This window comes from Homo sapiens, chromosome 3 (assembly GCF_000001405.40).
Source record: "Homo sapiens chromosome 3, GRCh38.p14 Primary Assembly".
Lineage (NCBI taxonomy): Eukaryota > Metazoa > Chordata > Mammalia > Primates > Hominidae > Homo > Homo sapiens.
The window spans coordinates 119,301,094-119,324,257 of NC_000003.12; the positions used below are offsets into that span (position 1 = coordinate 119,301,094).

The 23,164-nt window shown below is 43.9% G+C and overlaps 1 protein-coding gene and 1 long non-coding RNA gene across 3 annotated transcripts in view, besides 8 other annotated features; one reads left to right on the forward strand and one right to left on the reverse strand.

The window, feature by feature from the left end:
* The window catches only part of ARHGAP31 (Rho GTPase activating protein 31), a 126,332-nt gene that overhangs the window by 6,711 nt on the left and 96,457 nt on the right, over positions 1-23,164 (forward strand). The window lies entirely within an intron of this gene.
* Positions 1,820-2,039: an enhancer, noted in NCBI's record as "active region_20297". NCBI's record gives its function as "activates an Ori minimal core promoter by ATAC-STARR-seq in GM12878 lymphoblastoid cells {active_cell/tissue: GM12878}" and the evidence as "EXISTENCE:reporter gene assay evidence [ECO:0000049][PMID:35858748]".
* Positions 4,229-4,523: a silencer, noted in NCBI's record as "tiled region #6621; HepG2 Repressive non-DNase unmatched - State 24:Quies". NCBI's record gives its function as "represses a minimal TATA promoter and a strong SV40 promoter by Sharpr-MPRA in HepG2 cells {active_cell/tissue: HepG2}" and the evidence as "EXISTENCE:reporter gene assay evidence [ECO:0000049][PMID:27701403]".
* Positions 8,788-9,289: an enhancer, noted in NCBI's record as "NANOG hESC enhancer chr3:119028728-119029229 (GRCh37/hg19 assembly coordinates)". NCBI's record gives its function as "activates a minimal SCP1, AML or CMV promoter by ChIP-STARR-seq in naive H9 embryonic stem cells {active_cell/tissue: H9 hESC(naive)}" and the evidence as "EXISTENCE:reporter gene assay evidence [ECO:0000049][PMID:30033119]".
* Positions 13,200-21,667, reverse strand: ARHGAP31-AS1 (ARHGAP31 antisense RNA 1). Its single transcript, NR_046748.1, has 2 exons — positions 21,521-21,667; positions 13,200-13,676 (listed from the first exon to the last, which is right to left on the reverse strand). It is a non-coding gene; the product is annotated as an ARHGAP31 antisense RNA 1 (long non-coding RNA).
* Positions 21,338-22,195: an enhancer, noted in NCBI's record as "H3K27ac-H3K4me1 hESC enhancer chr3:119041278-119042135 (GRCh37/hg19 assembly coordinates)". NCBI's record gives its function as "activates a minimal SCP1, AML or CMV promoter by ChIP-STARR-seq in primed H9 embryonic stem cells {active_cell/tissue: H9 hESC(primed)}" and the evidence as "EXISTENCE:reporter gene assay evidence [ECO:0000049][PMID:30033119]".
* Positions 21,338-23,052: a biological region, named in NCBI's record as "H3K27ac-H3K4me1 hESC enhancers GRCh37_chr3:119041278-119042135 and GRCh37_chr3:119042136-119042992".
* Positions 21,615-21,974: a silencer, noted in NCBI's record as "silent region_14628". NCBI's record gives its function as "represses an Ori minimal core promoter by ATAC-STARR-seq in GM12878 lymphoblastoid cells {active_cell/tissue: GM12878}" and the evidence as "EXISTENCE:reporter gene assay evidence [ECO:0000049][PMID:35858748]".
* Positions 22,025-22,374: a silencer, noted in NCBI's record as "silent region_14629". NCBI's record gives its function as "represses an Ori minimal core promoter by ATAC-STARR-seq in GM12878 lymphoblastoid cells {active_cell/tissue: GM12878}" and the evidence as "EXISTENCE:reporter gene assay evidence [ECO:0000049][PMID:35858748]".
* Positions 22,196-23,052: an enhancer, noted in NCBI's record as "H3K27ac-H3K4me1 hESC enhancer chr3:119042136-119042992 (GRCh37/hg19 assembly coordinates)". NCBI's record gives its function as "activates a minimal SCP1, AML or CMV promoter by ChIP-STARR-seq in primed H9 embryonic stem cells {active_cell/tissue: H9 hESC(primed)}" and the evidence as "EXISTENCE:reporter gene assay evidence [ECO:0000049][PMID:30033119]".

Below are 23,164 nucleotides of genomic sequence, written 5' to 3' on the forward strand. Positions count from 1 at the left end.
TGTAGTCTGGAGATGACAACCCACACAGAGAATAGAAACAGCCACTTCCACATGCCTCCCTTCTGCCCACTCTTTAGACCTCTGCCAAGAGCCCCTGGGCCACAGGGACAGCCTCACCCTTTCTCCTCCCCTTTCTACCCGCACTGGCCGCCATCCAGATGCCTTCCAGCTTCAGGAGGCCCAGGCTTTGGGGCTGCTAAGGAAGCCCACTCCCTTGTTGCCTCAGCCCTACCCTGAAGCTAAGAACAGTCTGCGGGGTGAGGGAGAGCTGAAGGCCTGCTCTTGTGCTGGGACAGAGGGAAACATGTTGAAACTAGGAACACATTTTCCCATAGCTGATGCTGTAAGCGGTGGACACACTCTCCAGTGCCATTAGAGCTGTAGTTTTTGATGCATTTGCTTCATCCTCCTCCCCTTAGCCTGTTAGGCATCTGTGGGCTAGCCTGGGAACCTTTTCTGTAGGGTGGAAGCAGGTGTGAGGGGAAACACATTCCGAATTCCAAAAGTTGATTGATCACTGCTTCAAGTTCTCAAACACCTGATGGGGACTGTTTTTTTTTACCAGGAATCACCTCGCTGCAGAGAGGTTTCCTGGGCTTTTGTGGCTGTGGGTGAGGCTCTGCAGCAGTGGGTGGAGAAAGGGGATGGGGCTCTAAGTTCCAGGACTCTGGGCATAAGAACTGTCACTGCCCTGCCACCTCCCTTGCCATTAGCTAAGTCTAGCTAAAGATTCTGGAACAAAGTAGTGATAGACTCTTCTAGTTGGGGCTACCCATTGCTCATTTCCTCCAGAACAGACCACACTTGCTCTGAGCCGCCTTCCCACCCTGGCGTCTGCATCTCAGGACTCCACTTCCTTCTAGTGGTTCCTTCAGACCAGCCTTGAGGCCCAGGAACAGGGAGTTAGCTTTCTTCCCATTCAGTGCTTGCTGTGTATTTAAGCCAATGTGACATTTTCATACTTATCCCCAAGCTTCAAGTTATTTTTCTTTTTGACTATGGGTCCATGTCCTACCCAATTTCCTGAGCTGTTTCCCCCTATGCACCAACAGAAATGACACTCTTGAGTTGAACCGATCTTGCTATTTCTCCCCCAAGGGGCTGGCCTCAAGTACTGATTCAGTGAGGGTCACAGCCTGCTGGAACTTCAGGAGTCTAGATAGCACTCTCTGTCTCTCTAGACTTTGCCGCAGTATACAATTTCAACTAAGGCTTCACATTTAAAACCCCTGGGAACAAACAGGCTGACTGTAATTCAGAGGAGAATAAGTATTGGTACTAGATTTTTTTTTGTAAGAGCAGAGTTTGATAGAGAAAGATGAAAACATCAGGCTGCTGAATGGCTGAAGGGAAGAGGAGGAAGAGGAGGTCTCTTGAAGAGAAAGGACTTAGACATGAAGTCTGAGTCCCACATCAGGCCTTGTTGTTATTTTCATTGGTAGTAAGTGCTACTTATCTGTGTTGATTGCTTACTCTGTGCCAGTCACTTTATACATGCAAAGTAATATTTCAGTATCTTTAAGAATTGGGCATTTTAATCCCCATTTTACAAAAGAGAAAACTGAGTGATTTAACCAAGTGATGCCAAGATTATAGAGATGGGAAAGGCAGAATTGAAATCAAGATCTGTATGACTCCTAAGGCCATGGTCTCAGGCATGAACCACATATCTTAGGATAGCATATTTCATAATTTGGCATTAACAGTTTTGCCACAACCTATGAAAAGTGATTTTGCTCCCTTTGCTTTGTTTTTCCCACAGCCTAAACCATGAAGAGTCATAATAACGATGGACATTTGCATAGCACTTTACCCTCTGCAAGGTGCATTTCACACACACGGATCTAAACCTACCAGCTTTGAAGCCCAGCCAGACCCTATCTTTTCCTCCCAGGTCCCTTGCCCACTGCAGCCACATCTTCTTCACCTCTTGGAATACCCACTGCCTTAGGGTCAGGTGTACCCAATTTGTTATGCATTCTACCTGTTGTTTTGTTCTCTAACACTTTATGTATGCAAATCGATGGTGAGTTCCCCCGAAGGCAGATCTGGTAGCTCACTGTGGCTCTCTCAGGGTGAGCCCCATGTGAGACATGCAGCAGTTGATTCATTGACCCTACTTCCTTCTTCAGAAAACCAGTGTTTGTGCCCTTCTAGGAAGCTCAGGATAAGGCACATTGCTGATGTGCTGGATTATCAGGAATCCAATTGCTTAATGGTCCCCACAGGGGTTCATAGCTACTCCCAAATAGAAACTGACCCAGGCTTTGCACAGAACTCCCCAGAAACACTGCCTTTTCCTAGTTCCTCACCAATCACTCCTTGGTGTGAACCACATTCTTGGCAAGGCCCCAGAACCAACTGAGTTTCTGGGATCGAGTCTCAGGCACTCTTTGTTCTCGTTTAAGCTTGGTTGATGCATACCAGGCCCTGGTACCACGCCCATGGCCTGATGCTGGCCCAGAATGCCTTGTAGGCCCCCTTCCCACCACTACTGGAGGGAGAGGGGTGAATGTCACCCCTCCCCTCAAAAGCAACATATACCAGCTCTCGCTGTCATAGACACTAGAAAACAGCTTGACATATAAGCTAGGATTCCGGCAAACCGTACATAAATCTATAGGCTATGTGAAGGCAATTGAGCTAATTTGTGTGATTATGCATATTTCTTTCCCCAGCTCTTTTCATGTTTTTTGTTGTTGTTGTTGTTGTTGTTGTTGAGATGGGGTCTCGCAGTGTCGCCCGGGCTGGAATACAATGGTGCGATCTCGGCTCACTGCAACCTCCACCTCCTGGGTTCAAGCGATTCTCCTGCCTTAGTCTCCCAAGTAACTGGGATTACAGGCACCCACCACCATGCCTGGCTAATTTTTCATATTTTTAATAGAGACACGGTTTCACTATGTTAGCCAGGCTGGTCTCAAACTCCTGACCTCGTGATCCGCCTGCCTCAGCCTCCCAAAGTGCTGGGATTACAGGTGTAAGCCACCGCACCCGGCCTCTTTTCATGTTTTAATCAGATCCTATCTGGAATGGGACTTTCAATTCAATGCAATAAGTATGTAATGGGATTCTAACGTGCCAGACACTGTTGGGTTTACAGAGATGCTCTCAAGTTGCTCCTGACCTAAAGGATTCAAAGAGGGAAAACAACTAAAAGAAGTACAAAGAAGAATGGAATGAGGGCTGTAGAGGATGAGCAAGCAGGGGATGTGCACATGTGAGGCAGCCAAGTGAGAAAGAACCATCAGACAGAGTGGGTTGTTTTCACCAGGGGAAAAATCAGTAAAATTATAAAACAAACATCATCTGACCGAGTTATGACAGCTATGGGAGGATGGGAGGATGGGGTGGTTGGTCTCTAGAGGCAGAAAACCACAGGAATTTGCCTGACACTTGGAATTGGTCACACCCTTCTGCACCCTGGGGAAGAAGGGGCTTAAAATCTGGGAAAGGCAGCTGAGGGTACTTAGAGTGGTGAGGCTGAGACTGGCTGCAGTGACAGAAGCCTGCCTTCAGCTGCAGGGGGAGTGAACCTAACCTCAGGAGAGGGCAAACCAGCTGATAATAACAAGAGTGACCTTTGATTTGGCTTATCTTGGCTTTGTCTATCCCCTGCCCAAGCACAGAAGAATGGAGAATTCTGTTAAAATTAGCTGGGCTTGGTGGTGGGCGCCTGTAATCCCAGCTACTTGGGAGGCTGAGGCGAAAGAATTGCTTGAACCCGGGAGGCACAGGTTTCACTGACCCAAGATGGCGCTACTGCAATCCAGCCTGAGTGACAGAGTGAGACTCTGTCTCAAAATAAAATAAAATAAAATAAAATAAAATAAAATAAAATAAAATAAAACTTTTAAAAAATGGTGCTAACTGACCCTCTGTTTCTTGATTAAATCTATCTGTATGGCATAAATGTCCAACTGCAGAGTCTTCCACTATATGGAAAGTTCTGTTTTGTCCCCATCTTATGAAGAAGGACCAACTCAGAGAGGTTAAGTAACTTGCCTCCTGTCACCCAGCCAGGAAGCGGCAGAAGCAAGACTCCAGCTGTGTCTGTGCAACATTAAATTCTCCTTCCATGGCTTTGTCTGCTCTTGACCCAACGAGACACAGCTATGCTAGCAGTAAAACAGGTCTGATATGCAGAGCTCCATTTTGCCATGCATTGCCAAGGTGATAAGTTCAGTAGGATTTAGTTAGACTTAATAAAACTTCTGGCAATTGAGTTCCCATCCCCAGTTTTTCAAAGTAAAACACTTAGGTTCCAAATGGCAGGATTCTAAACAGAGAGCATGCCCTGTTACCATAAGTAGCCCCTTCCACCACTTCTTTCCCATCTGTTTCCTGCATGCTGGGTATTATTGGGAAACAATGATGTCAACTCTTCCATATAAATCTACACCTCCCTGCCAGCCCCTCCCCTACAATGCATATTTTTGTTCCTCTTTCTGGCTTTTGTCTTGCTGTTCTGCTAAGGACTCATACTTTTGGCGACAATTGTTGGCTTTCTTTTTAACAAGTTTTAGCTATTTAAGCTTTATTGTGGCCTTCAAAGTGCACATGCTTTTTGGGGCCTATATTTGGAAGATCCTTTGTTTGGCTAATAGCTAGAATATGAGCTTGGTGCTAATGGAGAAGAGCCATGTTGCTTTCTGGAAAAGCAAAGCCAAATGCAGGTCTCTGAATCAAGCTCAGAGCTGAGGACAGAAACGCTGCTTGGGTTGGGGGCCCTCTGAGGCTGCATTAAAGCTGTAGCTGCCCTGGACACAGAGCCTATAGCTAAAGGCCAGGAGAATATCCCCTTCAGGTAATCTGTAAACGTCCTGTTTTCCCCCCTCCTAAGCCTGACTTCCAAATGGGGCATGGTTTCCTCAGTTTTCCTTTCTTTAGTAACTCTAAAGACAATTTGGTTTCAGATGGAAAGGAGGGCTAGTTCTCTGGGTACAGTATGAGTTTTAAATTCAGAGTCCGAGAATTCTGGACCTCTCTTGTTAATCCTTGGGCAGCATTTCTCAAACTTTACTGGGCATAAGAAAGACTAAAAATGTAATTCTTGCTTTTAAATTTTAATTTTAAAATTAAATATTAGTCAATTTTAGTATACTACTAGAGATACTCTTCAAATCCAGTTTTGGACTCCTTGAGACAAAATGGACATCTAGTAAAAGTTTTCAAATGGGGCCGGGTGTGGTGGCTCAGGCCTGTAATCATAGCACTTTGGGAGGTTAGGTGGGTGGATCACTTGAGGTCAGGAATTCAAGACCAGCCTGGCCAACATGGTGAAACCCCATCTCTACTAAAAAAATTACAAAAATTAGCTGGGCATGGTGGCGCGTGCCTGTAATCCCAGCTACATGGGAGGCTGAGGCACGAGAATTGCTTGAACCTGGGAGGTGGAAGTTGCAGTAAGCCGAGATCGCACCACTGCACTCTAGCCTGGGGGACGGTGTGAGACTTTGTCTCAAAAAAAAAGTTTTCAAACGGGTATTTGCATAGGTTGTGTAATGTCTGGGTCGATGGAGAACATATGATTCTACCGAATGGGTTCCATAGTTTATAGGGCAGCAAGCTGTAAAGTGCTGCTGCAAGTCAGGATTCTGAGGTCCAGTTCCTCAGGGATTTTACTTTTGTTGGTCTGGGGTGGGAAATCCACATTTTAAAGATGAGCTCCAGGTGATCTAATATCCTTGGCCTACTGATCTCACTTTGAGAAACACTGACTTAGCACACAGAAAGAAGCAGCTATGTGAAACGACACGATTTTTATTTTCTTCATTATACTTTTATATTGCCCAACATTTCAACACTGAAGATACATTTTTATCTTTTAAATCAGAAAGAAACATTTCTAAAATTATTTTAGGAATAGTGTGTCTTGAGTCATTGGCTTTTTCATAAATGCCCTTTGTTTCAATCTTTATTTTTAGAAAAAAAAAACTAAGTCTGTTAGTTTTTTTTTTCATGCCTTAATAGATCCAGTATAGTGAAACCAATTAACCTATCCGCAGTGTGTAGCAGGGTGGTTGAGCATATGGTTTGTTTGCTGATAGACTACCATGATTCAAATTCCAACTCTACCACATGCTAGGTTTGTGACCATGGACAAGCTACCAAACCTCTCTATGCCTCAGTTTCTTCATCTGTAAAGTGGAGATTATGATGATAATGGTACCTACCACATAGAGCCATTATGAGCATTAAAGCAACTAGTGCACTGTTTGGAATTTAGTAAACCTTCCATACCTATTAACTATGGTTATCATTTCCTTGAGGATTGGAAATCTTACCGTGTTTCAGCCTTATTACTAAAAGTATGGTTCCTCGGTTATGCTATAGATGTGGAAGTTGAGAAAGCTGAGAACAAATATTCCAAGGCCCCCATCTATCCCTAGGGGTTTCTTTCTCTAAGAAATTCTCTTGTATGTACACAATTATTTATTTCCCTTGGGTGGATGTATAAAAATGCTAGTTTTAAGATTCTAATCTGTTGATAAATATATCTGGGGTGGGAATGTGGCAAACTTTCTAAGTTTTATATTTCTTTAGCAATTAGAAAAAGAAAATAATCTAAAAATAATTCTTCCTCCCTTATAAAGTTTATGATAAAAAGGCTATAATCACAGTGACAGCCATCTAGCCTGCTAGTTTCCATCTGTATTTCAGGAGAGTTATAAATCTGGCAATCAAGTCTGTTTCCATCATTGATGGAACAATGTAAGTCCTGGATTTTTGCTGGGCCATAAGACATCTCACATATGCCTATTTATTTGCCCCAAAACTGCATTTTGGAAGTTGACGGAATGAGGTAAATCTGGCTTGAGAGTGAATCCAAGTATGAATTAACAGCAAAAAAAAAAAAAAAAAAAAGCTCAATCTTAGGCTGTAGGAACAGCAGCAGAGTATATAGATCAAGGGATCCATCCACACTCTTCAGGACTGGAGTCACGCACGCAGCGTTGTCTTTATTCTGGAGCTGCATTTTAACATGGAAGCTTGTACACAGAATTATATTTAGCAAGGTGATCAGAAGAGTGAAGGATTGTAAAATGCTACAGATGACAAATGAAGTTGCTGAGAATGTTTATTACAGACAAGTAAATGCTGCTTCCTTTGCAGACATGACCATGCTGGCCTCTCTGGGTTGTGGTGTTTGTTGTCCCTTGTCTTAGTTTCCTATTGCTCCCATAACAAATTACCACAAACTTAATGACTTAAAACAATACAAATCTATTATCCTACAGTTTTGTAAGTTAGAAGTCCAACACAGCTGTCACTAAAGTCAAGGTGCAAGATGTATTTCTGGAGGCTCTGGGGAAGAATCCATTTCCTTGCCTTTTCCAGCTTCCAGAAACCACCTACATTCCTTGGCTTATGGCACCTTCCTCCATCTGTCTTCAAAGCCAACCATATTGCATGTCTTCCACCATTTGTCCAAAGTCATGTCTTTCTCTACCCACAGCTGGGAAAGCTTCTCTGCTTTCAATGACTCATGTGATCAGGTTAAGCCTGCTTGTATAATCCAGGACACTATCCCTATCTCAAGGTCCTTAACCTAATCACATCTGTAAAGCCTCTTTGTATAGAAGGTAACATATTCACAGGTCCCAGGGATTATGGCATGGACATCTTTGAAGGGCATTATACTGCTTACCGCCCTCCAGAAAGGTGTCGCACTGGGCAAATTGCCCATACCTGATGACCTCTGAAGTCTTTCCCAATTCCTAAATGTGGTCATTATATGATTTTTTTTGTTGTTGTTAAATTTTAGACAGGGTCTCACTTTATCACCCAGGCTGGAGTGCAGTGGTACAATCTTGGCTCACTGCAGCCTTGACTTCCTGGACTCAAGTGATCCTCCCGCCTCATCCCCCCTAAGAAGCTGGGACTACAGGCATGCACCCCCACGCCTGGCTAATTTCTGTATTGTTTGTAGAGACAAGGTTTCACGATGTTGCCCAGGCTGGTCTCAAACTCCTGGACTCAAGTATTCCACTCACCTTTGCCTCCCAAAATGCTGGGTTTACAGGTGTGAGCCACCGTGCCTGGCCAATTAATCCAATTTGGTACACTGTTAGAAATACTCCCTAAATTCCATTTCTGATTGCTTGAAACAAAATGGACAAACGGAAAGCCCTGTATGTGAGGGTTTGTGGAGAACATGTCATTCTACTAATGAGTCTCTACTTTGTAGACTGCAAGTGTAAAGTGCTGCTGGCCTGTCAGTAATATGTGTTCAGCCTTGCTGACTGCTGAGGAAGCCACAGAAGTGCTGGAATCATGGCTCCCATCGATTGAGAACTTGCCTCTTGCCAGGCCCTGTGCAAATGTTAACTCATGTGTCTCTGAAAACAGCCCTAGGAGGTCAGAGAAGAAAATAGAGGTTGGGTGCAGTGGCTCACACCTGTAATTCCAGCACTTTGGGAGGTTGAGGCAGGAGAGTTGTTTGAACTCAGAAGTTCAAGACCGGCCTGGACAATATGGCAAGACTCTGTCTCTACAAAAAAAAAAATACAAATATTAGCCAGGCATGGTGGCGTGGGGCTGTGGTCCCAGTTACTCAGGAGGCTGAGGTGGGAGGATTGCTTGAGCCCAGGAGGTCAAAGCCGCAGTGAGCTGTGATCATGCCACTGCATTCCAGCCTGAGACAGAGTGAGACTCTGTCTCAAAAAAAACTATCCCCCCCACCACAACCACCAGCACCATGGAAAAGTTGTCTTCTGCGAAACCAGTCCCTGGTGCCAAAAAAGTTGGGGACCACTGGCTTAGACAACCACCATTTAGCGAGAGCACTTTGAGTTAGGTAATGCCTGTTGTAAATGCTCACATGCCTGGGAAGATTAAAGGCACTATCAACTGTTTTTTTTTTTTTTTAATCTCAGGTCTCAAAAAAGAAAACAAAATAAAATAGAATCTCAGAGAAGTGAAGTGATATGCCCAAAACCACATAGCTGGTACTTGGCAAAGCCAGGGTTCAATCTAAGTCCTGTCTCAGTCCGTCACACTACACGGTCCCTTTCTAAATTATCCTCCCGTCAAGCTGACTGGCATTCACAGGAGAAGCAGCTAGAGAACAATAGATCACATTGGGTAATTGAATGCCTTGGCCACACAGGGAGCCCAGGCTCAGTCTTCAGGGGTCAAAAGAGAAAACCAGTTAGGGACTTGGCCTGGAAAAGCTTCCAGGAGAGCAGCCAGAGATGACACAACAACATTCTGTGGTCACCCAGTGGTGTGCAAGAAAGGAGATCCAGACTCCAGAACAGATTCTTAACCAAGTGATTCACCCTTCAGGGAGTTCTTGCCTTGGTAATATGGTGCAGACTGGGGGTCCCCAAACCTCAGGCTGCAAACAGGTATGATCCATGGTCCCTTAGGAACCAGGCTGCACAGCAGGAGGTGAGGGCAGGCAAGAGAGCATTACTGCCTGAGCTCTGCTTCCTGTCAGATCAGCAGCATTTCTAATAGGAGCGCCAATCCTATTGTGAACTGCGCACGAGGGATTTAGGTTGCAGGTTCCTTATAAGAATCTACCTAATGCCTGATGATCTGAGATGGAACAGTTTTATCCCAAAACCATTCCCCACCACCATGGAAAAGTTGTCTTCCACGAAACTGGTCCCTGGTGCCAAGAAGGTTGGGGACTGCTGGCTTAGACAACCACCATTTAGCGAGAGCACTTTGAGTTAGGTAATGCCTGTTGTAAATGCTCACACGCCTGGGAAGATTAAAGGCACTACCAACTGCTTTTTTTTAAATCTCACTGGTAATTCACCTAATCAACTTCCTTTTTCCCAACCCTAAATTGGAATTAACTGAAGAAACAGGCTTTTAAAGGGGAAAAGACAGCTTTGAAGGATAGACATGCAGATGAAACAGGTAGGCTGGTGTGGTGCTAACCTCCAGCAAGGCAGAAAGTGGTCAATGAAGAGCACAGAAGTGACAGCCTATGTTCCCCTCTGTCTGCCTCCAGCTCCCCATCACGCCTGTCCGTTTTAATGCCAGTAGATTCCCCAGTTGGCCAATCGTCTCCGTTCCCAGTGTTTCTGCCCTAGAGTAGACCTCTGTTACCTCTCACTTCCAACCGCTGTCATAATTTCCTCCCTTGAGTAAGAAGAAAACGAGCTCCTTGAAGACTGGCACCCATCCTCTGTTCCTCTGTGTATTAGGTGTCTGCAGGGCTGGTTTGTTTCTGCAGGCTCTAAGGGAGAATCTTGCCATTTCCAGCTTCTAGAGGCCTTCCTCATTCCTTGACTCATGTCACCTTTGCTCCTCAGCCTCCATCCTCACATTGTCTTCCTCTGTCTGATCTGCGTCTCTCTTATGAAGTGATTACATTAGGACCACTCAGACAATCCAAAATAATCTCCCCATCTCAAGATCTTTAATTTGATAACATCTGCAAAATCCCTTCTGCCATATAAGGTAATATTCACAGATTCTAGGAATAAGGATGTGGACCTCTTTGGGGGGACGTTACTCAACAAACCACAGTTTGTTTTCCCACAGGACACGGTTGGCTAACAGATAGCATTCACTTAAGAGAATAGAGTGGCGATTATGGGAGTGGAGGAAGAGATGGACATCAAATGCCACCATCTGCTAAGCACTTATCAGGCATTGGATCAGCTGGGACACTGGGAGGAACAGGTATTATCTGTCCTGGGGAGGGAATGTGGGAGACAGGGTCACAATCCCATATGATGGACGTATCTTCAACTGATTCTCACACAAACCACAATAGGAAGTAGATGACATCAGTTCTGACTCAGAGGAGTGGGATCTTAAAAGATGAGTGGAATCTGAGTAGTCTCTGTCTGAAGGGAAGATATTCCAGACAGAGGTAACAACAAAAATCAAGGTAGAGTGGTAAAAACAGTACAGCAGGATCAACATTCTCAAAAGAGAACAAAGGTGACAGTATCTATCTGCCTGAACTCTCTGTTTACAGGAACCAATGGCTACTTGAGTGACCATTTTAAATCTTCCAGGGAAAAGAGAGTGGTGAAGACAAATGTGTCCATTTAAATTCCAGACTGATAAAGGAAGTGGAAAGCTCACAAGAGCCACGTTTAAAACCACCTTGTCCTTTTTGTTGGTTTTGTTGTAGCTGTTGAGAAAAAATTGGACCCCCATCAGGGAATAAACTTTTTTCAGGTGGAGAGAAAATGTACCTGGGGCAATTCTAAACCAGAGTTTCAAACTTTGTTCCATTTATTTATAATTTTGGGAAATTTCATTTCACTCAGTCCTGTGGATGATAACTAGAAGGATGTTTAACGTTTCAAATCCAAGTTTTATTTGAGGTGAAAAACTTTGTAATGTTCCTTCTCACCCGCCTCCTGGTCACGCTTCTACTCCATCCCATCTCTTTTTCTTCCAGCCTTCTCTTCATCTTTGTCATTTCCCCAGTTTGAGAAACAATGCAGGATGTGATTTAATAAGGAATAAACACCTGACACAAGTACAAGCCGTCTTCTTCTCTTGTAAAATTACAAAAATAATAAAATAAAATAACAAAAGCAATTGTTAAAAACAACAACAACAACAATGTGATTTATAAAGTATAAAGTCCCTTCCCACATCCTTGTAGCCCCATTTGTCAGTTATCAGTCTAGACAGATTCATCTAATTCGGTATAATGGAGCTTTCCGCAAAGATGGAAACTTGCTCTATCTGTGCTGCCCAGTGTGGCAGCCACTAGCCACATGTGTCTGTTGAGCACTTGAATGTGGCTGGTGCTACCCAGGAACTAAAATTTTAATTTTAATTAATTTAAATGTGGCTAGTGGCAGTTACACTGGATAGCACAGAGACCTTTCTCTGTGTGTTTACTAAAAATTCGCATGGAGATTGATATTCTTTGTTCTTTTCCCTCAAAAATAAAGTTATATCATACACATGTTCTGAAATATGCTATTTTCAAGTGAGAGTAGACCTTGGCCAACTACCCATTTTGTAACTATAATTTGATTTCTTTCTTTTTAATCACTGGATGAGATTCTACTGAATGGATGGTTTTTAAAGTGTTAATTATTTTTCAAATCAGATATCACATTATTGTTGTTTAAAATGTAAAAGACTCTAAAGAGTATAGTAAAAAAATTTCCTTCCCATCCCTGTCCCCAGCTTCTCTGTTCCTCTTCCCAGAATCAACTAGTGTTATTTTCTTGGAAATCCTTCCAAAGATATTTTGTGTATATACAAGCAAATATACATATGTTTTATTTTTTAAACCATAATTTATTTCACCATTTCTTTGTGTATGAAGCTTTCTCTTTTTACAAGTTCCTGTAAGATTTCACTTATTATCTAAATATTGATCACTTATCTATTGAATATATGAGCCACGTATCATTTTCATTGATAATTTCTATTATCTATAACTTGTTAAATATCAATAATGGCTTCCCTTTGCTGAACGAACGAGGGTAGAATTTGCTAGCCCACATACTTCTAATTATAGTTTAAACTTGTTTTCCAGTATTCGTGAGGGATTTTGTCTGGTCAATTGATACTCTGTCAGCTGGACAGCTGGAGTTTAGGCCCTGGAGTAAAGCTGAGGCTGAGAGCAGGGAAGACTTAGAAGCTGTCTGGCCCACAAACTGGTATATCCATGCATCTTGGTCACAGTGGTTATCCAGGCCAACCTGGCACAGATCACAAAGACCCAAGAAGAGTGGCAAAAGCAGGTGAAATGGAGGTGGCAGCCTAAACTGAAAACATATCCTGAAGTTGAGTATCTATATTTTTGCAGATGCTGTAGCCAGAGTATATCTTAAGGTAGGATCAGAAAACATTTATATCCATAGATTCTTATAGTGGGCAAAAGGAGAATGTCTTAATAAGAGCTTGTCACCAGTGGCACTCACTAAATCCGTCAATGGCTTTCCAGTGCCTGCAAGACAAACACCAACTCCATCAACACCAACAAGGTTTGCCGCCTTCACATGCAGATACCTGCTTCCTCTGCAGCCTCAATGGACACATCTCCCGACCAGAGCATTATCCCTGGCCACACTCTACTTCTCGCAGTTCCTCAAAAGTGCCATGCCGCTCTTGCCTCCAAGTTTTCGTACACGTTCCTTCCTCTGTGTGGAACACTCCCCTCAACTCTCTTTTTAGCCTCACTTTGGGCCTTGCCAACTCCAACCCATCTTTTGCACCTCAGCTCGGATGTCTCATCCTCCAGGGTGCCTTTCCTGGTCCTCCAGAGAAAAAGTTAGGTGCCCTTGGTGTGTGTTCTCATCTTATCCTGTACTTCCCCAACGCTGCTCTTATCATCCTCATCCCCACCTAATCCCTGCCTCATCCTAGACTCTGAATGATCCTGGGTCATCTCTGTGAGACTCAGGAACTGTGTCTTCTGGTGTTCATTATTTTATTGCCAGTGCCTAGCATAATGTTCGTAAATATGTGTTGACCGAGTGGCTGGGTCCAGAGAAGGGCAATGCTGTCTTGGGATTGCGTGGTAGTGAGGTGGAGGTGGAGGAGTGTGTTCTGTATAAGTGTTTTGCACATATGTGTGCATCTGTCATGTGTCTGTGTCCATGCAATGGGGAGACTGTGGAGGTGGCGAAGGGATCCACTGATGGAGGTCAGGATTGTCTTCATTCTGCAGATAATTGTCATCTGGTCTTAAGCAAATCATCATACTTTCTGTTTCTCAATTTCTTCATCTAAAAGAGGGGTGAGAATTAGGTGAGATAATATAAGCAAAAGGACTTTTAAAGTAGAATTTGAATACTATGATTGTACAGCAGTTTAGGCACTTGTGTTCAGGAAGAACTAATGGCCCCAGAGCCTGTATTTACTGATAGGCAGTGAATGCAATGAGTCCTTATAGACATCCCCCACTGCCATAGTGGAAGGAAATTGGCAGAGCTGTTTTCCTGACATAACCCTCCTCCACACCCTTGTGCCTCCCCCAAGCCCTGACAGCTTCAGCCATCTGCTACCAGCAGAAGTCCTTCAGGGCCTTCTAGTACATTGTCCAGGTGCATAGCTGGAGGAAAATACTCAAAAACATAAGCAAGAGCTTTCTCTGGATGGATGCTTTTCTCTTCTGTGTATACTGCTGTTACCGTGTTGTCTGAATTGCTTTTTGTAACAATGAACATGTATAATAATGTTTATAGTTTGAAAAACCAACAAGAATATTTTCATTTTATAAAACATGCATATTCCCTAAATTATTCCAACTTTCTTTTACTTTGATTTCATTATCAAACAAATTTTATTATCTGCAACTTGCTCTTCTCAGTGAGGCCCCCATCTATAAGAAGCCCAAACCCAATTCTGAACTTCTATACAAAATAATTCAATTGCCATTTGACATTACAAAGTCATCCGCTCTGAACTTAGCAGCAGAGCACGATGATCACCTTCTAGTGAACTTGCCAAATTCAGGTTATGATTCTGCAAAGGAAAAGACAAGACCCTGGCCTGTGATGACTCTGCAAAGGCCCAGCTTCCCCGCTGCCACCTCTTAAGGCCTCGCTAAGACATCAGGCTGACCCACAGTCCCTGTGGACACTGCTTGGGACTAGGGGTAAGGCAGCCTTACAAACCTTTGGTGGTGCATACTCACATCTCTGATGTGGAGAGATAAAGAGCTTTGGTTTGGTGCAAAAGGGGAGCTAGCTGCTGCTGTGGATGCTGACCAGCAGCTGACAATAGTAAGAGGCTTGCACAATACAGAGAATGTGAAACAAATTTTATTTGGTTTGTAAAAGTGAGGTCCAAGTTAATAGAAGGACAGAGAACTTGCCAAAATGTTGGGGTGGGGAAGGGAGAAAGTAATCCTTAGACAGCACATTACAGAGTACTCTTACAAATCGTCTCATTGTTCTTCAAAATCCTATGAAGTCGTGAGGCAGGTAATTATCACACATGCTGTATAATGAGGACACTGATGTTCCCTAAGGACACAAAGCTGGTAACACCAAATCTGTGGCCTTTACTACTACCTCCCTAGGATGCAAGCTCTATGTACACAGCAGGCGTGTTTAAAACTCTGGATGGGAATCAGAACTGTGTATTAGTCATGTGACCTTGCAGCATTCTCTTCATCTTTCTGAGCCTCAGCTTCCTCATCTGTAAAATGGGATCATAATACCTGTCTAACTTGTCTCATGGAGTGGGGATCTAACAAGACAATGGATGCAAAAACAGTGTGCTTTGAAAATAGTGGGTTGTTAAAGGAATATAAAGTATGATCAATCTCCCAGTGCAGTACTGAGGGATACAGGTTGAGAATAACTTTCTCTAAACAGAACTGTTGTTTTAGGACTGGATAAACTTGATACAGCCCACAACAATCCTACAACCCCCACCATTTCCCTAGGAAGCCAAACCTATTTTCACACCCCTGTCCTGTGTAGGGTACACTCAGCTTTAAAGATAGGTAATCAGGTTTCCAGCAAACAGAGAAATCCCTGGCCAGCTGCCTCTTCTCTCTGAAACCCTGAGCTGGAGTGAGCTTGAGTTGGGGGCTGTTGGTGAAATAGTTGCTGTGGGGCCCATACTTTAATCTTAAGAAATTGTGTTTGCCTGCTTATTTTAAAGGATGGTTAAGTACAAAAACCTCAAGTCTGTGCTATGCTTTTCCCATCACAGGGGCCACTAGTGGGGCCTCAGAGGGAAGGCTCTAGGGTTCCCCACCCTGCTTCAGCCAAAGAACTCTGCTTCTTTAGTGCTATTTGTTTTATGCTTTGGAGTGAAATTTATCTGAACAAAGCACTTCATGCTTAAAAAAATAAGTTGAAAACCACTGCTGCTTGAATCTGCAAATCAGCAAAACTTCTTTTGTGCCGCAGGTCACCCACCCAGCCAACCATTTATCCCCTATGTCCCTCCTGTCTTTGCTCTCCCTGACCTCACTAATACCTGCTTTCTGCAATCAGGTTTACTCCAGAAGCTTTCCTCTGGGCAGTCCAGGTGTTTTGTTTTGCGTAAGACATTTTGTAAATAGCCTGCAGAACACATACGCAAAGCCATGTGTATTTTTGTTTGATAAAAAATGCTCAGCACTAATATGTAATGTGATGTTTTATGTTTTGTATGGTATGTCACATTTCTATTTTCTTTTTTCTTTTTTTTTTTTTGAGACGGAGTCTCGCTCTGTCGCCCAGGCTGGAGTGCAGTGGCGCGATCTCAGCTCACTGCAAGCTCCGCCTCCTGGGTTCACGCTATTCTCCTGGCTCAGCCTCCCGAGTAGCTGGCACTACAGGCGCCCACCACCATGTCCGGCTAATTTTTTGTATTTTTAGTAGAGACGGGGTTTCACCGTGTTAGCCAGGATGGTCTCGATCTCCTGACCTCATGATTGCCCACCTTGGCCCCCTAAAGTGCTGGGATTACAGGCGTGAGTCACTGCGCCTGGCCACATTTCTATTTTCAGTAGAAGCAGTAAAGAAATAAGGCAGAATTGAAGGGCTGATATTAATGCCACTTAATACCAGCATTTCTATGAATAGTTCTCAGCCCTCCTGCCACTATGGGTATAAATATTTTTTATGTGAACACTAACAACACAGAATAATTCCTACCACTACAGATGCATCCCAATTACTGTAGGAGGAAAGGGAAGAAAGAAGAAATGAGAGGGAAAAAGAAAGGAAGGAGGATAGGAAGAATGGAATTAGAAGCTGGTACAGAAAAGTACAAGGTAATTTAGAATTTCTGAAGTAGTTGACTAAGTGGAAGTACTACTGTGACATGGGGTAAGATTATTCTCTAAGCCTCAGTTTGCTTATCTGGAAACTGAGGAATATGGAGATAAAAATATTTGCTTTGATAGGCCTAAAAGAGATATTGTGAGGACCAGTTGAAGTAGTGAATAGGAAAGGGACTTTAGTTAAAAAGGGAATTGCTGTTCTTTCAGCTGAAGAGTCCTGTCAGTTTGTTCACGGTTTTTAAATAGATGGTCTGAAGGATTAGGATCTTTCCCTCTTTCTATTTAATTTTGGAGCACCACCCAGGGCAACATACTGAGACTTGGTCTGTACAAAAAAAAAAAAAAATTTTCATTAGCTGGGCATGGTGGCTCATGCCTGTGTCCCCAGCTACTCAAGAGGCTGAAGTGGGAGGACTGCTTGAACCCAGGAAGTCGAGGCTGCAGTGAGCTATGATTGCACCACTGTACCCCAGCCTGGGTGAAAGATCGAGACCCTGTCTCAATAATACCCAGCAGTTTCTACGAAGTTTTCAAATGCTAGGTCTAATGGTTTTTAACTGGGTGACTTTCAGAATCGATTTAAGTTATCTCCATTTGAACTCTTGAAGGTATAATAAGAATATTTCAAAGACGGCATTATTGACAGAGAGGTTGTGCTCTGATCTTTTTAAAAACATCATCTAATAATTTGAGTATTGCCTTAAATATAATTTTTCTACCCAGTAGATGCAGGTCAGCTTGATTTTTCTTAAACCTTACCTTAGTTAGCAAATTAAGGAGATACTTTACTTCCTGATTAATTTAATTCTGTTTCACAGAGCCTATAAGAAGGAACAGTTCTCTCTTTTCTTGGCTAGGGTAGAAATTCACAACTAATATACTTACTTACTTTACCTAGACTTTCTCTCTATGACAGCTAGAACTTTTTTACTCTTGAATAATTCTAATTTAATACTGTAGAATTAGTCTCTCGCTTATAATTATTTTGAGTTAAACATTTAAATCTCTAAAAATTCAAAATCTAAGCTCTGGTAGTACAGAATGCAGTAATAATTCAATAAACAAATATTCCTGGGAAAAAATTGAGAAGGTGAAAACAAGCTAAGCTACATTCCAGTATTAGATGGACCTCTATCTCTTGGTCCAACAACCTGCCCATTTTTTTTTACATACAGGTCAGATTGCTCCAAAAAAACAAAAAAAATGCCTTTTCAAAATAAGCAACGCTGCTGGTCTAGTCTATCTTGGGACTCATTGTTAAAAATTCTTCCCTTCTGCTGCCTTCTTTTGGGTAATACCAAACAAACATTAACAACTGTGGAACAGATGTTCTAACTAGTGAGGATTCCAAAGCTCGGCTCAAACGCATTTTCAACCAGAACAAGACACCAACCACAGAGATTAATCTTCTGGTATGGGTGCTATGAGATAAAAGCACCTTCTGGATTTCATCATATATTAAAAAAAAAAAAAACTCTAGAGTTTTTTTTGTTTCTTTCTTTTTAGGGATGGGTCAGAAAATTTTTCTATTTTGTGAGCCCAAGTGTCATACAAATATTTATGTTGGTGTTTTGATTTTAGACAAAGCAAAGATCATTGCTTTCTGTTCTGCTGTAATAACTTTTAAAAAGATAATTTCTCTGCCACCGTCTTTTATTTTTGTGGAAAATATTAAGAAACCACGGTACATTATAGCATAAGACATCTTAAGAAGATAACATTTCACTGCATTCCATAAATTGCAGGATATCAAGCAAGGCAGTTCCCACCTTCCATCTAGATGCCAACACAGTCATATCCAACCCAAACATTTGCGCTTATTTCATTTAATCAACAAGAATCTGTAGATAACCAAACATTTTCCTAGTACTGAAGCATCATATCCCCTGGCTCTAACAGACTTTAATTTTAAAAGTCTAAAAAGAACCATGAGCGGTTCCCCCTCTTTCCCTATAATCTATTCCAGTGATTGGAAAACAGGGTGGTGAGGTTGGTGAGATGGTCAAGTTGTTAGAGGAAGGCTGTGAATCCACGAATGTCCAGTGTCTGACCCTCAACCTAGTGACACCTCCCATTTCATTCCCAGTAAAACGTGTACAGCTTTCAATAGGTGAGGGAGGGACAATGATAAAAAGCCCACACAAGGTGAGATCAGCAAGGGATCTCCCCTGGCAGGGGAAGAATCAAGGGAGGGGAACTGGAATGACCCAAGATTTCCTTAAGCCCAGACCCACACCTCTCTGTGTATGGCTTGGTAAATTCTACATCTACCCCACAGAGAGTCCTAGATTTCAATCCCAGAGCAAAAGCTTTGCCTTTTATCATAACACAGGTCCTCACCAGTTTATGCTACATTCCTTGTTCAAGGTATGGTATGTAGTATTACTTGAAGGATATTGCTGCATTCTCCCTTCTACCAGATCCTCCCACAAGACTGAACAGTTCTCAAACTAGCGAAACTTGGTTTTATCAGTGTCTATTCTCTGCTGCTACATAAAGATCTCCAGGGATACAGGGCACTTAGACATGAGGCTTTCTTGATATTCTTCCTTCCCTCCCTATAGAAGAGGAATAGGCCCCAAATAAGGGGCTACATGATCATTAGGCATTTTCCAACCCAAAATAAGCATACTCATCCTATTGCTAAGGTAAGATAATAATACTGGTATCAACAACCTTGGGCCAAATGTGAAGATGTTAAATTCATTTTGCACACCTATTCTTCAGGATTAAAAAATATTATCCTGATAAATACAGTAAACCCATTGTAAACAAAACTTTTCATGATGCAGTAACCTTACCCATTACTCCCTTACCTCCTATCTTAAATAATGTTTGAGTGTATTCTTCCCTTTGCCATTAAAAGTTCCATTACTTCTGCCCACAAACCAGCAAGTCCTCACCAATCAAGAATCAGCTGCGATCTCATCATTTTCTTTTTGTGTATTCTAAAACTCAGATGTTTTCTCTCCTCTGGCCTACTGTGGCATGCCCTTCCCTTTCACTAATATCTTGGACATTGATATGGTTTGGCTGTATCCCCACCCAAATCTCATCTTGAATTCCCACGTGTTGTGGGAGGGACCTGGTGGGAGGTAATTGAATCATGGGGCCAGGCCTTTCTCGGGCTGTTCTTGTGATAGTGAGTAAGTCTCACGAGATCTGATGGTTTTGAAAAACGGGAGTCTCCTTGCAAAAGCTCTCTCTTCTCTTGAGTGCCTTTAATCTTCCACCATGACTTGTGGCCTCCCCAGCCATGTGGAACTGCAAGTTCATTAAACCTCTTTCTTTTGTAAATTGCCCAGTCTCCAGTATGTCTTTATCAGCAGTGTGAAAACGAACTAATACAGATGTATAAACATTGACCCATCCTCTTTAACTTCCATATACCCTTTTTAAATTGCAGAAAAATCATTCAATTAGTGGAAAAATTGCTCAAGTAAATTTTATCATCTTTCACCCAGGCCCGGTGATTTCCTATTCAGCAGCAATTTCACATATATATATATACTATATATATATATATAGTATATATATATGTATTATGTATATATAATTATATACTATATATGTAAAATTTTAAAATCAATGTTTTCATACTTTTTAATAATACATGCTTATCCTCATTGTAGATAAATTGGGAAATACATAAATGTTTTAGAAAGAAAAAAATACTTGTATGTAATTCTATCACCCAAAGATGTAACATTTTGGTGGATTTCCTTCAAGTGTTTTTTTTCTATGTACATTTTCATATTGTGATTACACTGTGTGTGTGTATATATATATTATATATATATATGATTTTGTGTCTTGCTTTCTTATAACCGAAGTCTTTATTCAAGTTATAAAACCCTACATATAACATTTTAAGGCTCCGTAGGTTTTGTTTTGTTTTGAGACGGAGACTCGCTCTGTTGCCCAGGCCAGAGTGCAGTGTCACGATCTCAGCTCATTGAAGCCTCTACCTCTCGGGCTCAAGTGATTTTCCTGCTTCAGCCTCCCAAGTAGCTGGAACTATAGGCCCACACCACCACGCCCAGCTAACTTGTTTTTGTATTTTTAGTGGAGACGGGGTTTCGCCATGTTGGCCAGGCTGGTCTTGAACTTCTGACCTCGGGTGATCTGCCCGCCTCAGCCTCCCAAAGTGCTGGGATTACAGGCGTGAGCCACCACGCCCGGCCCATAGTAGTTTATCATATAAATATGCCAGTTTATTCCCTGCCTCCATTACTGGACATTTATAGTTATGATTGTTTTAATTTTATGAACAAGCCCACAGTGAATATTGTGAGGCATATGGCTCTTTTGTTATGTAATATTTCTTTGGAATAAACTCCCAGAAGTAAAATTGCTGGATTAAAAGGTGTGTTATTAGTCAGAACTCTCTTGGTTGTGACTGAAGGAACTCTGACATAAGAAAAAAAGTGGGGGTTAATTACTGATTCATAGAAGCAAACTTTGGCAAAGACAAGAAGGGAGCTGGCTTTAGGGAGCTGGGACCAGAGGCTGGAATTTTAACCTCCTGACTTTCTCCTTGTCTCTTGAATTTATCTTAGACATAAATGAAAATAGAGGTAACTCAAAGCGTCTAACCCACAGTGACAATTGCTGCTCTGTTTTTAGAGCCGGGATTTTGTTCGTGGACTTGCCTTGCCTGGTGGTTGAACTTTGCAGCCCCTTCCTCCTCCGGGCAGCTTCTCTCAGTGGCAGCTGTGTTCCCCATGGTTTGTCCTGGATGTCTCCCTTGTGCCATCCTTGCAAGCCCGCGGCCAGCGCCTCCACCCACGCTCCGGCCTTGCTCCCACTCCCACCGCTCTGCCACCTCCCACCTCAGCCTCCCACCTTGGTGTGGAGGGACCAGCGTCGAAGACAAAGGAATCTCTGACGAGAACCGGCCAGTCCGGGAGGGACGGCGGGGAAGGGGGTGCTGCTCTGGCGGAGCCCTCACTTCACTCGCTTCCCCTCGAGCGCCCCTCTAGGCTGGGGCCCGGCCGCTCTGGGCCTGCTCCTCCTCCCGCTCCTGTTGCGGGGCACCAGGTCAGACCCTACAGGGGGCTCCGCCAGGGGGAGGGGGAGAGGGGCTCCCTTCAAACTCGGCCCGGCCGCGGGGGTCCCGGGTGCCCTCTGCTGGGCTCCTTCCACGTCCTTGTCCCTCCTGAACTCCCGTTCCAGCCCTGCCCCCGCCCCGCAGTAGGGAACGGACTCGTTTCTGCCCCGCCCCGGGGTCCGGGCGCCCGCCCGGCGCTTCAGCTTCAGCAACGTCAAGGCCACGTTCCCTCCGCTCCAGCTCGAAAGACGGTGGCGCTGACTCTGCTCTGCGCGCCGCAGCTTCCTCCCGCTGCTCCGCCCAGCGGTTTCTGATCCCCTTTCGGCGCTGGGGACTCACACGCTGCGGCGACAGGAAAGCCCGCGCCCCCGGCCGCTTCCCGGAACGCCCTCGGGGACGGCTGAGTCACTTGGCGCCCGCCCGCGCGGCCACCGAGCCCAGAAGCGGGGAAAGCCCAGAAGCGGGGAAACCCCAGGGACAGCCGCCGGCCCTGGGGGCAGCCAGCGCTCCAGGCCGCCCAGCACCTCGGGCCCGGATGGGCTTCTCGCGCCCCAGGGCTGCGGCCACACCCCGCCGGCCCAGACCCCGCGGGTAGAGAAAGGAGGTGCAACCCTGAGAGCCAAGACGTTGGGCTTGGCTTTGCTTTGCGTTTCTTTCCTTTTTTCTTTTGTTTCTTTTCTTCTTCTTTTTTTTTTAACCACATCCAGGAAGAGGAGAAACCTGTCTCATGACAGGAAACGAAGAGGGAGGATGCATCCGAACTGAGGGACATTGTTTCAGTTGCCTCACCTGACATACTGTCTCACCTGAGAGAGGGAGGCCGAAGAGGCAGCCAATGGTGGCTGGAGCAAGCCCTGTCCTCGTTACCTGGGCTGTGGCTGAGCCCTGGGGCTCACCGGCTGTATGGCCCTGGGCAAGTCCTCGGAGCCTTAGGTTCTCTGCAAAATGGAGATGATGTTTAATAGAAAATGTTTCTATAACTTTTGTGGCTTACTTTTTGAAAAGCGAGGGAGGGACTTTTGTCCTTCCCTCCTCGCATCTCAGTCGCAGTGCTGGTTCACAATCAGGCTGTTAACGCGGTTTCCACATTTCCTGTCCTCCCCCTTCCCCTTTCCTGCTGGGAATAAGAAGGTGGGCCCCCAAGGAGACAGAGGGTACACTCGTAAATGAAAAAGAAAAGTCAGCACAAGGACCCTTTGCTGCGGAGATTTCTTTTTCCAGGTATCCTAAGTGGGGCTCTTGCCATCCCTGCCATCCCTGCTCTACACCGAAGGGGTGAAGTCCTGGGACTCTGTTATGCCCATCTGTATGTAATCCTAGGCAAGATTATTACAGTAGCGCTTTCCTCTTTTTAGAATATACCCTTGTCTAGCCCCTACCCCATCTTCAGGACAGTAAAGGTTCTCAACTCACTTCAAACCCTCCTAGCCGTCTAGAAC